The sequence below is a fragment of the Homo sapiens genome, chromosome 1 (assembly GCF_000001405.40).
Source record: "Homo sapiens chromosome 1, GRCh38.p14 Primary Assembly".
Classification (NCBI taxonomy): Eukaryota; Metazoa; Chordata; class Mammalia; order Primates; family Hominidae; genus Homo; species Homo sapiens.
The window spans coordinates 34,079,558-34,096,590 of NC_000001.11; the positions used below are offsets into that span (position 1 = coordinate 34,079,558).

General features: G+C 44.1%; 1 protein-coding gene across 12 annotated transcripts in view, besides 1 other annotated feature; it reads right to left on the reverse strand.

Moving 5' to 3' along the window:
* CSMD2 (CUB and Sushi multiple domains 2) overlaps positions 1-17,033 on the reverse strand; it is a 651,845-nt gene that overhangs the window by 565,560 nt on the left and 69,252 nt on the right. For all 12 annotated transcript variants that reach the window (XM_047443685.1, XM_047443656.1, NM_052896.5 and 9 more), the window contains exon 2: positions 9,420-9,636. In XM_047443685.1, the coding sequence (XP_047299641.1) occupies positions 9,420-9,636 (217 nt within the window). The remainder of the gene's footprint in view (positions 1-9,419; positions 9,637-17,033) is intronic.
* Positions 8,347-8,867: an enhancer, noted in NCBI's record as "NANOG hESC enhancer chr1:34553505-34554025 (GRCh37/hg19 assembly coordinates)". NCBI's record gives its function as "activates a minimal SCP1, AML or CMV promoter by ChIP-STARR-seq in naive H9 embryonic stem cells {active_cell/tissue: H9 hESC(naive)}" and the evidence as "EXISTENCE:reporter gene assay evidence [ECO:0000049][PMID:30033119]".

The following is a 17,033-nucleotide window of genomic DNA, read 5'->3' on the forward strand; positions in this document are numbered from 1 at the left end:
AAATTCTCATGAAAATGATCTAAAGTATATAAAGAGATGGAATATCTACATTAACTTTGGAAACCAAGGAATACAGATAGATACCTACATGCTACAAACACGAAGAAAATTCTACAAGATAGAGTCAGTAAGACCTACCTAAGACAAAAGCTAGCTAGGCAGGATGTTGACAGAAAAATACAGCTTAAAACATGTTCTAAAGAAGCAACTTTAAGCACTAATAGAATAAAAATCACAGAAAAAACAAAGACAACTTGCACTAGAAGACAGATAAAAGGAAGTAACAGTAAGGACGCTTAAAAGTAATAGAAAGCATTAAGTATAATAGAAGAGCAAACATATCAGTTGTTACCAAAAAATATGAGTGAACTAAATTTTCCTGTTAAAGGATAGTGACTCTTAGCCAGGATTTTTTAAAAATTTAACTACTGTGTATATTGTGCTAAGAACTATTCCTAAAACAATAATATAGATATATTAAAAATAGAGAAATTGGCAAAAATGGACCCAATCAATGCATATCTGAAAGAAAAAAAGAGTGTAATATTGGTACAAAGTAGAATGTAAAGCAAAAAAAAAAAAAAAGGAGAGAATAGGGAATAACTACAATTTTCATATTGGAAATATATATATACATATACAAAATTCACTCTGAAGATCTAATGTTTGAAAATATGAATGTGCTGAAGAGTATAGGATCACAGTATATAAAATAAAAACTTAGGAATAAAAGGAGGAACTGATATAAACTATAGTAAGAATGTGAGAGCAATATATTGCCTATCCGCAAATATCAGTTAGGCAATAGATATGAAATTAGAAAAACTGAATGATATTAATAACATAATTTTTTCACCTTTCATACACAGAATATCTTTCTTCATAGAATACTGACAAAAAATGATCTTATACAGAGGGAAACAAGTCAACAAATTCTCCAAAGTAGAAATCATAATCTAATCATAATGAAATAAAGCTAGATAATAATTTCTAAAGTATAAACAAATATTACTTCAAAATTTAAGGGGAAAACCCTAGAGTCAAAGAAAGAACAAAATTGCAATTAGAAACTCTTTCTAAAATAACAACTAGCCATAAAAATTTATGGAATGTGGTCAAAGCTATACTTAGGGGAAAATGTCTCTTAATGTTTTTATTATCAAACAAGAAATAATAAAACTAATTTAATTTACAAAATTGGCAAAAGAACAATATTAGCCTAAGGAAAGTGAGAGAAAAGAATAGATAAAGATAAAAGCAGAAATCAATAATTTAGATAAAAGAGAATAAAATGGATCACCCTAGCATTGGAACTTTAAAAAGACCAATAAAATAGGCAAACTTCTGGCAAGACTAACTGAGTGGAAAGAAAGAAAGAAAGAAAGAAAGAAAGAAAGAAAGAAAGAAAGAAAGAAAGAAATGCACAGGAGCAGATGTGAGAAAGGGATGTGACCCAGACACCATGGAGAAAGAAAGGTTGAGTGGGAAAACAGTGTACAACCTTAGGATAATAGACTTGACACTCTCAATAAAATGGGTGATTTTATTGGTGATTCCCTGGACTAACACACACACAAAAATGATTCATGAATAAGAAGGAAATCTCAGTAGATTAAAAATCATGCAAGAACATTAAAAAAAAATTCACAAAGACCCAAGGGTCCCCACCAAGCATGCTTGCTGCTGCCTCTCCACACCCCCAGAGTAGCACCATTCCAGTATCAAGGACAGCATCTTCCAATGTTACTTGGACTGTCCTCTAAGGTCATTTCCCCTCCTATCATCCTCCGAGGTGTGAGCTCCTCTGGTTCCAGGTCAATAAAAGGCAGTGGTCGTCCCTCTCCTTCCCCCTCCCCCTCCCCCTCCCGCTCCCTCTTCTTCGTCTCCCGCTTTCCATGGTCTCTCTCTGTTGCCGAGGCTGGATTGTACTGCCGTGATCTCGGCTCACTGCAACCTCCCTGCCTGATTCTCCTGCCTCGGCCTGCCGAGTGCCTGGGATCGCAGGCGCGCGCCGCCACGCCTGACTGGTTTTTGTATTTTTTGGTGGAGACGGGGTTTCGCCGTGTTGGCCGGGCTGGTCTCCAGCTCCTGACCTCGAGTGATCTGCCCGCCTCGGCCTCCCGAGGTGCCTCGCTCACTCAGTGCTCAATGTTGCCCAGGCTGGAGTGCAGTGGCCTGATCTCAGCTCGCTACAACCTCCACCTCCCAGCCGCCTGCCTTGGCCTCCCAAAGTGCTGACATTGCCGCCTCTGCATGGCCGCCACCCCGTCTAGGAAGTGAGGAGCGTCTCTAACTGGCTGCCCATCGTCTGGGATGTGAGGAGCCCCTCTGCCCAGCCGCCCAGTCTGGGAAGTGAGGAGCGTCTCTTCCCGGCCGCCACCCCGTCTAGGAAGTGAGGAGCGTCTCTAACTGGCCGCCCATCGTCTGGGATGTGAGGAGCCCCTCTGCCCAGCCGCCCAGTCTGGGAAGTGAGGAGCGCCTCTTCCCGGCCGTCATCCCGTCTAGGAAGTGAGGAGCGTTTCTGCCTGGCCGCCCATCATCTGGGATGTGGGGAGCGCCTCTGCCCGGCCGCCCCGTCTGGGATGTGAGGAGCACCTCTGCCCGGCCGCCCCGTCTGGGAGGTGAGGAGCGTCTCTACCCGGCCGCCACCCCGTCTGGGAAGTGAGGAGCGCCTCTGCCCGGCCGCGACCCCGTCTGGGAACTGAGGAGCGCCTCTGCCCGGCTGCCCCGTCTGAGAAGTGAGGAGCCCCTCTGCCCGGCCGCCCCGTCTGGGAAGTGAGGAGCCCCTCCGCCCAGCAGCCGCCCCGTCTGGGAGGTGGGGGGCGACCCCGCCCAGCAGCCGCCCCGTCTGGGAGGTGGGGGGCGCCCCCGCCTGGCAGCCGCCCCATCTGAGAGGTGAGGGGCGCCCACGCCCGGCAGCCACCCTGTCTGGGAGGTGGGGGGCACCTCTGCCTGGCCGCCACGTCTGGGGGGTGGGGGGGCCCCTCTGCCCGTCCACCACCCCGTCTGGGAGGTGTACCCAACAGCTCATTGAGAACGGGCCATGATGACGATGGCGGTTTTGTCAAATAGAAAAGGGGGAAATGTGGGGAAAAGAGAGATCAGATTGTTAGTGTGTCTGTGTATAAAGAAGTAGACATAGGAGACTCCATTTTGTTCTGTACTAAGAAAAATTCTTCTGCCTTGGGATGCTGTTAATCTATAACCTTACCCCCAACCCCGTGCTCTCTGAAACATGTGCTGTGTCCACTCAGGGTTAAATGGATTAAGGGCGGTGCAAGATGTGCTTTGTTAAACAGATGCTTGAAGGCAGCATGCTCGTTAAGAGTCACCACCACTCCCTAATCTCAAGTACCCAGGGACACAAACACTGCGGAAGGCCGCAGGGTCCTCTGCCTAGGAAAACCAGAGACCTTTGTTCACATGTTTATCTGCTGACCTTCTCTCCACTATTGTCCTATGACCCTGCCAAATCCCCCTCTCCGAGAAACACCCAAGAATGATCAATAAATACTAAAAAAATTAAAAAAAAAAAAAAAGAAATCAAGGAAGCAGAGATAGAAAACATAGGCAGCTCTTTGGAGAATTGTCTGGCAAAGGGAGCAGAGAAGTGAGGTGGTATTTGATGAAGAATGTGTGGTTAGATCACACACACAAAAAAGTGCAGCATGGAAAATGCTGCTAGGACTCATCTGATAGAACCAGAGAGGCTGAGATGTAGGAAAGAGGGGCCCCCAAAGAATCTTCTAGCTCTCGCTCTTTGTCACTCTCTGTTCAACCCTATATATCTGTGTTTTAAGTGATGATTTTTTCCCTTATTTTGTTCATTGTTGTAAATTAATTATGAGTGGAACATTCAATAGATTTCTCAAAATCAAAATTAGGTTCATTTTTCCTAATTCAACTTCTCAGTCCACTGAAATATTATTTATCCCTGGGATAAAGTTCTGGCCCTACTTAAAAATGATCTGAGCTTGGGCAAGTGACATAACTAAGTTTGCTACAGTTTCATTAAAATAGGCTTAATAGTAACACTTAACCATAAACTGTTTTAAGACTTAAATGACACACTAGTAGACCGGGCATGGAGGCTCATATCTGTAATCCTAGCACTTTGGGAGATGGAGGCAAAGTGGATCACTTAAGCTCAGGAGTTTGAGACCGGCCTGGGCAACATGGTGAAACCCTGTCTCTACAGAAAGAGTGCAAAAATTAGCCAGGCGTGGGGGCTCATGCCTGTAGTCCCAGCTACTTTTGGGGCTGAAGTGGGGGAAGTGCTTGAGTCCAGGAGACAGAGATTGCAGTGAGCTGAGATTGCACCACTGCTCTCCAGCCTCACTAGTAAAGCATGTAGAACAATGCCTGATACACATTAAAGACTCAATAAATATTAGCTGTTGCTGTGGCTATTGTTGTCATCATCAATCAAAAAAAAAAAGGCAGTGGTCTCCTTCTAGCCCTTCCCCTTTGCTAAGCCCGTGTGAAATGAATTAGAATAAGCAGATCATAAAGATGACAGAGATCAGGAGCACAAGCAGGGAAAACCCAATGAAGGTTCAACCCCAGAGCCTCATCCTCATGGCTGGTTGGCCAGGAATGCTGTGCCGTGGCTGGGGACACATCTGATTCTTCTGCATCCTAAGGACAAGAGGAAGCCTTCCCTGCCAGAACCACTTCTCCAGGTCATGGAAACTCCCACCCTTCCATGCTAGAACACAGGCCAGACCAGTCTCTGCTGAGTCTTCCATACTTCCTCTCAGAGTCAGAAAACCCAAGTGTCTAACACCAAAAGCAATGGTAACAAAAGCCAAAATTGACAAATGGGATCTAATTAAACTAAAGAGCTTCTGCACAGCAAAAGAAACCACCATCAGAGTGAACAGCAACCTACAGAATGGGAGAAAAATTTTGCAACCTACTCATCTGACAAAGGGCTAATATCCAGAATCTACGATGAACTCAAACAAATTGACAAGAAAAAAACAAACAACCCCATCAAAAAGTGGGCGAAGGACATGAACAGACACTTCTCAAAAGAAGACATTTATGCAGCCAAAAGACACATGAAAAAATGCTCACCATCACTGGCCATCAGAGAAATGCAAATCAAAACCACAATGAGATACCATCTCACACCAGTTAGAATGGCGATCATTAAAAAGTCAGGAAACAACAGGTGCTGGAGAGGATGTGGAGAAATAGGAACACTTTTACACTGTTGGTGGGACTGTAAACTAGTTCAACCATTGTGGAAGTCAGTGTGGCGATTCCTCAGGGATCTAGAACTAGAAATACCATTTGACCCAGCCATCCCGTTACTGGGTATATGCCCAAAGGATTATAAATCATGCTGCTGTAAAGACACATGTACACATATGTTTATTGCAGCACTATTCATAATAGCAAAGACTTGGAACCAACCCAAATGTCCAACAATGATAGACTGGATTAAGAAAATGTGGCACAAATACACCATGGAATACTATGTAGCCATAAAAAATGATGAGTTCATGTCCTTTGTAGGGACATGGATGAAGCTGGAAACCATCATTCTCAGCAAACTATCACAAGGACAAAAAACCAAACACCGCATGTTCTCACTCATAGGTGGGAATTGAACAATGACAACACTTGGACACAGGAAGGGGACCATCACACACCAGGGACTGTTGTGGGGTGGGGTTAGGGGGGAGGGATAGCATTGGGAGATATACCTAATGCTAAATGACGAGTTAATGGGTGCAGCACACCAACATGGCACATGCATACATATGTAACAAACCTGCACGTTGTGCACATGTACCCTAAAACTTAAAAGTACAATAATAATAATAATAATAATAATAAATAAATAAATTGTACCCTTCCACACTAACAATGATAATCACGTTTGCATTATACATAATTATTTTCTTTTGGTGGGGGGAATATGTGGTTTTCTTTGACAGCACAATCAGAATTACATTATGGCAGACTCATCACAAATGTAGGTCAAAAACAGTTCAATTTCCTGCAATAGTTGGTAGTCAATTCTAAAACAAGATGGTGAGAGGAGACAGAAGATTTTTTGAGGTTTAGGGGGAAAAGAGCTGACCATTTGAAAGTGAGATATGAACCCCTTTCTTTGTTTAATTCTGGTATACTTATTTTTACTGCTGCTTAACTGCCTATTATTTAATAAAAATTAGAACGTCATTTTATTTATAAACAGACTTGTAAACAAAGTCCATCTCTTGGTCAGTTAGTTTATAAATTTGTCTGAGGTGAACAAAGACTCTTTACTTCTTCCCCACTAGGACCACACAACAAATACCACAAACAAGACTGCTCTGGAAACACTTCCCACAGACTGTGTGAGAATGTGTGTATGGGGTTGTGTTTCTGTATGTCAATCTCCATTTCAAAACCAAATTGAATTTCTTAATTACTGTGGCTTATGCAAATGAAATCTTAAGTTTCCTGGAAAAAAAAAAAAAAAGAAAGAAAGAAAACCAAGTGTCAGAAAACAAAGACTCGACCACACATGTGGGGACTCTGCCTTAAGAGCAGGACAAGCTTAAATAACTCCAGCAGGCAGAATTGGAGAATTTGCCTCTAGCTGTCCATACCTCAATCAGTGCCCCATTGGTTTGACCTGACTTTCTATCTTTCAAACATGCATTCAACATTCATCAAAAGTCTACACAGGTGCCCCATAGATGGTGTCACATGAGCTCAAAATCTGATGGAGAAGACTGGCTCCCTTGTGACCACATCCAGTCTTACGTTTTAGGCACCATCCAGTCCTAGTCTCCCAATTTTGTATCTCTAGCCCTGACGGCCTTGAACTCAAAAACCACATATTCAAGTGCACGTTAAGTGCCTTCTCCACCTGGATATCTAATAGACATCTAAAATTTTATAGGGCCAAACTGAATCTTAACTTCCAGCTCCTCCTGTTGCTGTCCCCATCTCAGGAAACAGCTACTTCTTTCCATAATCATTAAGGCCAAGGAGACTGGAATCATCCTCATCTCCTTTCTCCCATAGCCCACACCCAATGCAACAACAAATCCTGTCCACTCTGTGTTTGGAATACAGCACAGAGCTGGCCACTTCTCATCATGTCCCCACTTCCAGGAGACCCAAGCCTCCTTCTTCTCTGCCCTGAACAGCAGCCTCCAGCCTCACCCCTTTCACTCCATTTTCCCCACGATGGCAAAGGCCTGTCACAGCAGGTCCCTTTTCTGCTCAGAACCCTCCAAGGGTTTCCTGTGCCTCAGGATCAAGGCCAAAGTCCCTGCATGGCCTATGAGGCCCTGCAGGATCTACCACCTTCTGCCACCTCCCAGCCTCACTTTTTCCCTTCCAGAACTCCTACCCACTGGCTCTGCTCTAGCCTCTAACCACTGACCTCCTGCATACCCTCCTTTGCTTGTGAGAGGAATTCAAACTAGCAGAGCATAAAAACAACACCTGGGATGATCTAGAATGAGGATTCCAAAACTGCAGGTCTTCCTAGTCAACATGACTGGCTTGGCCAAAGTGGGCTCTGCCACAGCAAGACCATCCTCCAAACGGTGGCCCTGTACCCTTTACATTTCCTGTGCCCTTAGCCTAGAAGCTTTCCCTAGATACCTACATGGGATACCACACCATACATGATATTCCATGATTCAGCTCTCTGCTCATAGCTCTCTTTCCCCTGGGAAAGACCATCCCTGACCACCCTATAAAAACCAGCAATCACAGCCATAAAAAAGGATGAGTTAATGTCCTTTGCAGGGACATGGATGAAGCTGGAAACCATCATCCTCAGCAAACTAACACAGGAACAGAAAACCAAACACTGCATGTTCTCACTCATAAGTGGGAGTTGAACAATGAGAACACATGGACAAAGGGAGGGGAACATCACACACCGGGGCCTGTCAGGGGGTTGGGGGCTAGGGGAGGGATATTAGGAGAAATACGTAATGTAGATGATGGGTTGATGAGTGCAGAAAACCACCACGGCACATGTATACCTATGTAACAAACCTGCATGTTCTGCACAAGTATCCCAGAACTTAAAGTATAATAATAATAATAATAATAATAATAATAATAATAATAATAATAAAGCCAGCACTCCTGCCATCACTTTCTTACCCTGTGTGCTTTGTCTTCATAGGACCAGACATGTTAGATATTTCCATGCCTGCCTCCCCATTAGCATGTAACCTCCATGAAGGCGGTGGCTTTGTTTTTCTCACTGCTATTCCCCAGCATCTAGGCCAGTGTCAAGACATAATAGGTACCCATGAAATATTTGTGGAATGAATGATTGAAGAGGACTCTAGCCCTTTACCAATGTTTCACAGAACCCTGCTGAACCTCAAGGGAAGATGATTAGCCCAGTCTTTTCTGGGAGAAGCTGCAGAAGGGGTGCAGGGGGCCCCAGATGCCCCCCCGCCTCTGCTGCAGGCTTCCCAGACTCACTTCTGCCCAGAGGGGAAAGAGAAGAGGGCTGAAGACTGTGCAGTAAATGTGTGTGTGACCCTGCTGCAGGAGCTTGGAGGCCAAGGGCTGAGATGCATCTTAAACAAAGCTTTGAGGTTAAGCATTTGGCTGGGAACCACTCATTAGTGCATCATGTCATTAGAAGCAATTAGCACCTCCGGCTCCCCAGGGCTTGGCTTGTAAGCCATTAACCCTTTGGCTTCCTGTAGAGCCGGGAAGCCACGCTGACCTGACCTGGACAAGGCTTGTGACAGACCCTGGCTGGCCTCCGGGTCACCTAGAGAGTTTTGACCCTGGGGTCTTCACCTTTGCCCCAGAAAAGTCTGCCCTTTCTGCAGAGGTTGGAAGCCTTCCTCCCATCTCCCTCCTGTAAGCTCTTCCCCTTGGGAGTCAGCTCAGGGGTACAGGAAGCCATCTTACTCTCTCCATGGGGATCTCTTCCATCACAGGGATGGGGGTTAAGAGGGTGAGAACTCCCCCAAATTCCAGAGTCTACATCCACAACCAAGGCCTTGGAAATGCAAAGCAAAGTCCAGAAAAGTATTGATGGTTTCAAATACTGTGACGCAAGACATATTCACTGCATCACTATCAGCCTTCAACACCCATATCTGTTGGTTCCAACTTATATTTCTGTGTGTACAAATAATACACCCTGTGCATGAAAAATCAGTTTCAAAAGAAAGAGCTGAATTTGTCTAGAACCCTCTTGTGTTTTCTCTCTAGTCTTCCCAAATGTCCTACTCATCAATCCTCCCAACCGGAAACCTCTAAGCAAGAGACATGAATTGGAAAACCAGAGGGGTTGAGGGAGGACATCATGAAAACAGTGGTCTTTGTTGATGACCATAAACTTTTCACTCGAGAAAGATCTTCCTCCTAGTGAGCTTGGCTCATAGCCCAGCTGTTTGCTACAGGGAAGGTGGGCAGCATGGTACCTCGTACGCAGATTCTCTGGCTGGGGTGGACCATCAAACACCGACAGGACATCAAAGTCCTCTTCCAGGGCAAAGGACTGGAACACAAGCTGGATTCTGTGCTGCTCTTCCGCGGTGATGGTCCACGTGCAGTTGGCGTAATTGGGGTAGCCATATGGGAACCCTGGGCTCTCAACTGTCCCATTGGGACCGTGCAGTTGGAACGTGCAGTTCTGGCCTGGGAAAGAGAAATGGAGCAGTTCAGAATAGCCAGAATAACTCCTAGAAGCTTCTAGAGAGTCAGGAGCAATGTGTTAGCAAATCATGAACCCACTTTTCCAAGTGCTTCCCATGAGCCAGCCCTGTACTTGGCACCGAGGGAGGTACAAAGGGTGACTAACGTTGATTGTCGGCTTGCTGTGCGCTGTGTACTGACCAGGTGATACATTGTGTATCATTTAATCAAGGCTTACAACAACTCTATGCAGTAGAAAATTAAGGCTTTGAGAATCTGAACTACACAGCCACCAATACCAGGCTGAACTCAGACTTCCCCTCTACAACATGGAATGTCAGAACCACAATTTCAAACCTTCTCCATTGTCTGCAACCTCCTGGCTCTCAGCTAATTCCTCTCCCTCACTCTCCATAGAAAATAAAAGCCATTCCTAAGGATTCCCTTGTCTTCCCAATTCCAAACCCTTCTAGCCTATCCCATGCTGTCTTCATTCCTGCTACAGAGGAGCTACCTCTTCCTCCATCTAAATGGACTCTTGCCAAGAGTCTCGACTCTTCCCTACTCTTCAAGAACAGTATACGTTCCTGTTTCTTTCTAACGTGTGTTCAGTCATTTCCTCTCCACTAGTATCTTCTCATTTTAAATGTGCTCAAGACTCTATCGTTAAGAAAAAAATTCCCTACCCCACTCCTCGTCTCCCTCCAGCCTTGTCTCTCTCTCCTTCACAGCTAAATTTATAGAAAACACAATCTGTCTATACTTTCTGTCTCCATTTCCTTACTTCCCACTCACTCTCCAACCCTGTCAATTCTGCCTTCTGGTCCCATTGATCCACCCAAACAGATCTACTACCCATGGGCTCAGTGGCTATTTTTCCGTTTTCTTGTTAATTTACTGCTCAGTGCCTCTGACTGCTCTTGCTCACCCTCCTTTCAGAAACACTCCTCCGGGCCAGAGCATCTCAGACCTCACTGTGCACACGCATCACCTGGGGAATCTGTCTCAAATGGAGATTCAGATCGACACCGGGGTGGAGCTGGAGGGACTGCCTTCCCACCATGCTCCCTGGTGATGTGATGATGCCCTCTGTGGGACCACACTTTGAGCAGCAATGCCCTGAGCTTCCTCCCACAATACCATACTCCTTTCCTGCTCCTGCTCTTTCTCTGCCTCCTTTCAGTCTCCGTGCCAAGGCCTCTGCTCCTCTCTCCGATTTGGGGGACTTCCCACTTGTGCATTGGTTACTCACAACGTCATGATCCAGGCCAGCCATCCCTCTGTGGGCCAGGCCCATCACCCCTTTGGGATGCTCTCGATGTCCCCCCACCCACTCTCTCCTCTTCTGTTGCCTACCCCCCAACTCAGTGAATGGAATCATGCCTCCATCTCTTTATCTAAGTAAGGCTCACCTAGAAGCTTCCTCTTCTTCACAACCCCATGGCTAATCTACCACTCTATCTCTATCTCCGTCTGTCCCCACCCTACACCAAGCTCATTCCTAAACTGCCGTATTAACTCCTAACTGGTCAGCCACATTTGCTCTGGTCCTTGCCAATCTGTTCTTCACACTGCACGCAGAAGGTGGTGAGGTCATGCCAACCTCCCAAATGCCCCAAACATTCAATGGCTCCTCCTTGCTCTTCAATAAGGAAAATTAAAGTATACAAGGCTTTCCACATGGCCTGGCCCTTAGTGACCTCCCAGCTTCATATCCACCAGCTTTCCAGCCAAATCCTGCCTGTTTCTGTCCTTTGTATCTGCCACACTCTTGCACTGCAGAGCCACAGGACCTTTGCGCGGTTCTCTCTGCCTACAACACTCTTAGCATACCCATCTTTCAGATCTCAGCCTAGTGTCCTTCCTTGGTCAGGTCAAGCCCACTACTACACAGTGTCATGACACCGTAACTTCTCCTTGGTGGTACTTATTATAAAAGTAAATCTCCATGCTTCCAAGTGATTGTTTCACAAGTATCTGTCTTCTCACCAGGCTGAATGCTTCATGAGAGCAGACACCACATGTGAGTTTGCCCATCTTTGAATCCATGTCCCAAGCTCAGTATTAGGTACATGGTAAATTCTCAATAATTTAATATTTTGTTTGTATTTACTTAGTGTTTGGCTAGACACTCTCCTAAAAACTTTACCTATATTGATTTGTCTAATCCTCACAACAGCCCTATACGGTAGATACTATTACTATCATCTCCATTTTACAGACGAAGAACTAAGGCAGAAAGAAATTAAGTAATGGGGCCCAAGTCACTGTTACACAAAGGTGGGATTCAAACATAAGTATTCCACTTCGAATCCATTTTCTTCACCATGATGCTGATAAATTGACTCGACACTAATTTTTTTAAAGCCCATTTTAGGGATTAACTGACAAAGGACAGTTAATCTCTAAAGGACTTTAATATTAAGAAATCTCTTAACACGAAGTATCCCATTAAATGAGAAAAAAAAATGTTAAGGTCTTCTGAATAAATCCTAAACAGGCATTTCATAAAATTAGGCATGTAACCCTGATTAAAATAAGCATTCAAAACTAGGAAAAAGAATATTTCCTTACTATGATAAAGCTTCAATTTTAGAACAATACTCTACATTGTACTTAAGGTGAAACACCTGATTAAGATTGGGAACAAGACAGAGGTGCCACCATCACCTCTGGGATTTCACGGCTTATTGGAAGAGTTAACCCATGTGACACAAGAAAAAGAAATGAGAAAAGAGGAAGCAAAATTATGGTTTGTAGATGATACATTAATATACCTAGAAAACCCAGGAGAATTCATTATAAAGCTATTATAGATAATATGAAATTTTAATAAACTAGCCAAATGCAAAATAATATACAAAAATCAGTAACATTCCTATATGTCAATGACAGATAAAAATATAAAGAAAAAAGATCTTGTTTATGGTAACTACAAAATGCATATAGTACATATAAACTTAACAAGAAGTGTGCAGGCACGATATGAAAATGACTTTTACAGAGGGATAAAAAATTTGAATAACTGGAGAGACATAGCATAATCTTGAGTGGATACAGAAAGGTTAATTTATGATATTAACCTCTTGACAAGTTACAGAAAAGTTAATTTATAAGTTTAATGCAATTCGGATGAAAAGCCCAATGACCCGTTTTAAGTTTGGTAAAATGATACCTAAGTTTAACTGGAAAAATAGATTGTCGGGGGGAGGAGCCAAGATGGCCGAATAGGAACAGCTCCCGTCCACAGCTCCCAGCGTGAGCGAGGCAGAAGAGGGGTGATTTCTGCATTTCCATCTGAGGTACCAGGTTCATCTCACTAGGGAGAGCCAGACAGTGGGCGCAGGTCAGTGGGTGCGCGCACCGTGCACGAGCCGAAGCAGGGCGAGGCATTGCCTCACTCGGGACGTGCAAGGGGGCAGGGAGTTCCCTTTCCTAATCAAAGAAAGGGGTGACGGACGGCACCTGGAGAATCGGGTCACTCCCACCCGAATACTGCGCTTTTCCGACGGGCTTAAAAAACGGCGCACCACGAGATTATATCCCGCACCTGGCTCGGAGGGTCCTACCCCACGGAGTCTCGCTGATTGCTAGCACAGCAGTCTGAGATCAAACTGCAAGGCAGCAGCGAGGCTGGGGGAGGGGCGCCCACCATTGCCCAGGCTTGCTTAGGTAAACAAAGCAGCCGGAAAGCTCGAACTGGGTGGAGCCCACCACAGCTCAAGGAGGCCTGCCTGCCTCTGTAGGCTCCACCTCTGGGGGCAGGGCACAGACAAACAAAAAGACAGCAGTAACCTCTGCAGACTTAAATGTCCCTGTCTGACAGCTTTGAAGAGAGCAGTGGTTCTCCCAGTACGCAGCTGGAGATCTGAGAACTGGCAGACTGCCTCCTCAAGTGGGTCCCTGACCCCTGACCCCCGAGCAGCCTAACTGGGAGGCACCCCCCAGCAGGGGCACACTGACACCTCACACTGCAGGGTACTCCAACAGACCTGCAGCTGAGGATCCTGTCTGTTAGAAGGAAAACTAACAAACAGAAAGGACATTCACAACAAAAACCCATCTGTACATCGCCATCATCAAAGACCAAAAGTAGATAAAACCACAAAGATGGGGAAAAAACAGAACAGAAAAACTGGAAACTCTAAAAAGCAGAGCGCCTCTCCTCCTCCAAAGGAACGCAGCTCCTCACCAGCAACGGAACAAAGCTGGACGGAGAATGACTTTGACGAGCTGAGAGAAGAAGGCTTCAGACGATCAAATTACTCTGAGCTACAGGAGGACATTCAAACCAAAGGCAAAGGAGTTGAAAACTTTGAAAAAAATTTAGAAGAATGTATAACTAGAATAACCAATACAGAGAAGTGCTTAAAGGAGCTGATGGAGCTGAAAACCAAGGCTCGAGAACTACATGAAGAATGCAGAAGCCTCAGGAGCCGATGCGATCAACTGGAAGAAAGGGTATCAGCAATGGAAGATGAAATGAATGAAATGAAGTGAGAAGGGAAGTTTAGAGAAAAAAGAATAAAAAGAAATGAGCAAAGCCTTCAAGAAATATGGGACTATGTGAAAAGACCAAATCTACGTCCGATTGGTGTATCTGAAAGTGATGGGGAGAATGGAACCAAGTTGGAAAACACTCTGCAGGATATTATCCCGGAGAATTTCCCCAATCTAGCAAGGCAGGCCAACGTTCAGATTCAGGAAATACAGAGAACGCCACAAAGATACTCCTCGAGAAGAGCAACTCCAAGACACATAATTGTCAGATTCACCAAAGTTGAAATGAAGGAAAAAATGTTAAGGGCAGCCAGAGAGAAAGGTCAGGTTACCCTCAAAGGGAAGTCCATCAGACTAACAGCAGATCTCTCGGCAGAAACCCTACAAGCCAGAAGAGAGTGGGGGCCAATATTCAACATTCTTAAAGGAAAGAATTTTCAACCCAGAATTTCATATCCAGCCAAACTAAGCTTCATAAGTGAAGGAGAAATAAAATACTTTACAGACAAGCAAATGCTGAGAGATTTTGTCACCACCAGGCCTGCCCTAAAAGAGCTCCTGAAGGAAGTGCTAAACATGGAAAGGAACAACCGGTAGCAGCCACTGCAAAATCATGCCAAAATGTAACGACCATCGAGACTAGGAAGAAACTGCATCAACTAACGAGCAAAATAACCAGCTAACATCATCATGACAGGATCAAATTCACACATAACACTATTAACTTTAAATGTAAATGGACTAAATGCTCCAATTAAAAGACACAGACTGGCAAATTGGATAAAGAGTCAAGACCCATCAGTGTGCTGTATTCAGGAAACCCATCTCATGTGCAGAGACACACATAGGCTCAAAATAAAAGGATGGAGGAAGATCTACCAAGAAAATGGAAAACAAAAAAAGGCAGGGGTTGCAATCCTAGTCTCTGATAAAACAGACTTTAAACCAACAAAGATCAAAAGAGACAAAGAAGGCCATTACATGATGGTAAAGGGATCAATTCAACAAGAAGAGCTAACTATCCTAAACATATATGCACCCAATACAGGAGCACCCAGATTCATAAAGCAAGTCCTGAGTGGCCTACAAGGAGACTTAGACTCCCACACATTAATAATGGGAGACTTTAACACCCCACTGTCAACATTAGACAGATCAACGAGACAGAAAGTCAACAAGGATACCCAGGAATTGAACTCAGCTCTGCAGCAAGCGGACCTAATAGACATCTACAGAACTCTCCACCCCAAATCAACAGAATATACATTTTTTTCAGCACCACACCACACCTATTCCAAAATTGACCACATAGTTGGAAGTAAAGCTCTCCTCAGCAAATGTAAAAGAACAGAAATTATAACAAACTATCTCTCAGACCACAGTGCAATCAAACTAGAACTCAGGATTAAGAATCTCACTCAAAACCGCTCAACTACATGGAAACTGAACAACCTGCTCCTGAATGACTACTGGGTACATAACGAAATGAAGGCAGAAATAAAGATGTTCTTTGAAACCAACGAGAACAAAGACACAACATACCAGAATCTCTGGGACGCATTCAAAGCAGTGTGTAGAGGGAAATTTATAGCACTAAATGCCCACAAGAGAAAGCAGGAAAGATCCAAAATTGACACCCTAACATCACAATTAAAAGAACTAGAAAAGCAAGAGCAAACACATTCAAAAGCTAGCAGAAAGCAAGAAATAACTGAAATCAGAGCAGAACTGAAGGAAATAGAGACACAAAAAACCCTTCAAAAAATTAATGAATCCAGGAGCTGGTTTTTTGAAAGGATCAACAAAATAGATAGACCGCTAGCAAGACTAATAAAGAAAAAAAGAGAGAAGAGTCAAATAGACGCAATAAAAAATGATAAAGGGGATATCACCACTGATCCCACAGAAATGCAAACTACCATCAGAGAATACTACAAACACCTCTACGCAAATAAACTAGAAAATCTAGAAGAAATGGATAAATTCCTGGACACATACACTCTCCCAAGACTAAACCAGGAAGAAGTTGAATCTCTGAATAGACCAATAACAGGAGCTGAAATTGTGGCAATAATCAATAGCTTACCAACCAAAAAGAGTCCAGGACCAGATGGATTCACAGCCGAATTCTACCAGAGGTACAAGGAGGAACTGGTACCATTCCTTCTGAAACTATTCCAATCAATAGAAAAAGAAGGAATCCTCCCTAACTCATTTTATGAGGCCAGCATCATTCTGATACCAAAGCTGGGCAGAGACACAACCAAAAAAGAGACTTTTAGACCAATATCCTTGATGAACATTGATGCAAAAATCCTCAATAAAATACTGGCAAACCGAATCCAGCAGCACATCAAAAAGATTATCCACCATGATCAAGTGGGCTTCATCCCTGGGATGCAAGGCTGGTTCAATATACGCAAATCAATAAATGTAATCCAGCATATAAACAGAGCCAAAGACAAAAACCACATGACTATCTCAATAGATGCAGAAAAGGCCTTTGACAAAATTCAACAACCCTTCATGCTAAAAACTTTCAATAAATTAGGTATTGATGGGACATATTTCAAAATAATAAGAGCTATCTATGACAAACCCACAGCCAATATCATACTGAATGGGCAAAAACTGGAAGCATTCCCTTTGAAAACTGGCACAAGACAGGGATGCCCTCTCTCACCACTCCTATTCAACATAGCGTTGGAAGCTCTGGCCAGGGCAATTAGGCAGGAGAAGGAAATAAAGGGTATTCAATTAGGAAAAGAGGAAGTCAAATTGTCCCTCTTTGCAGACGACATGATTGTATATCTAGAAAACCCCATTGTCTCAGCCCAAAATCTCCTTAAGCTGATAAGCAACTTCAGCAAAGTCTCAGGATACAAAATCAATGTGCAAAA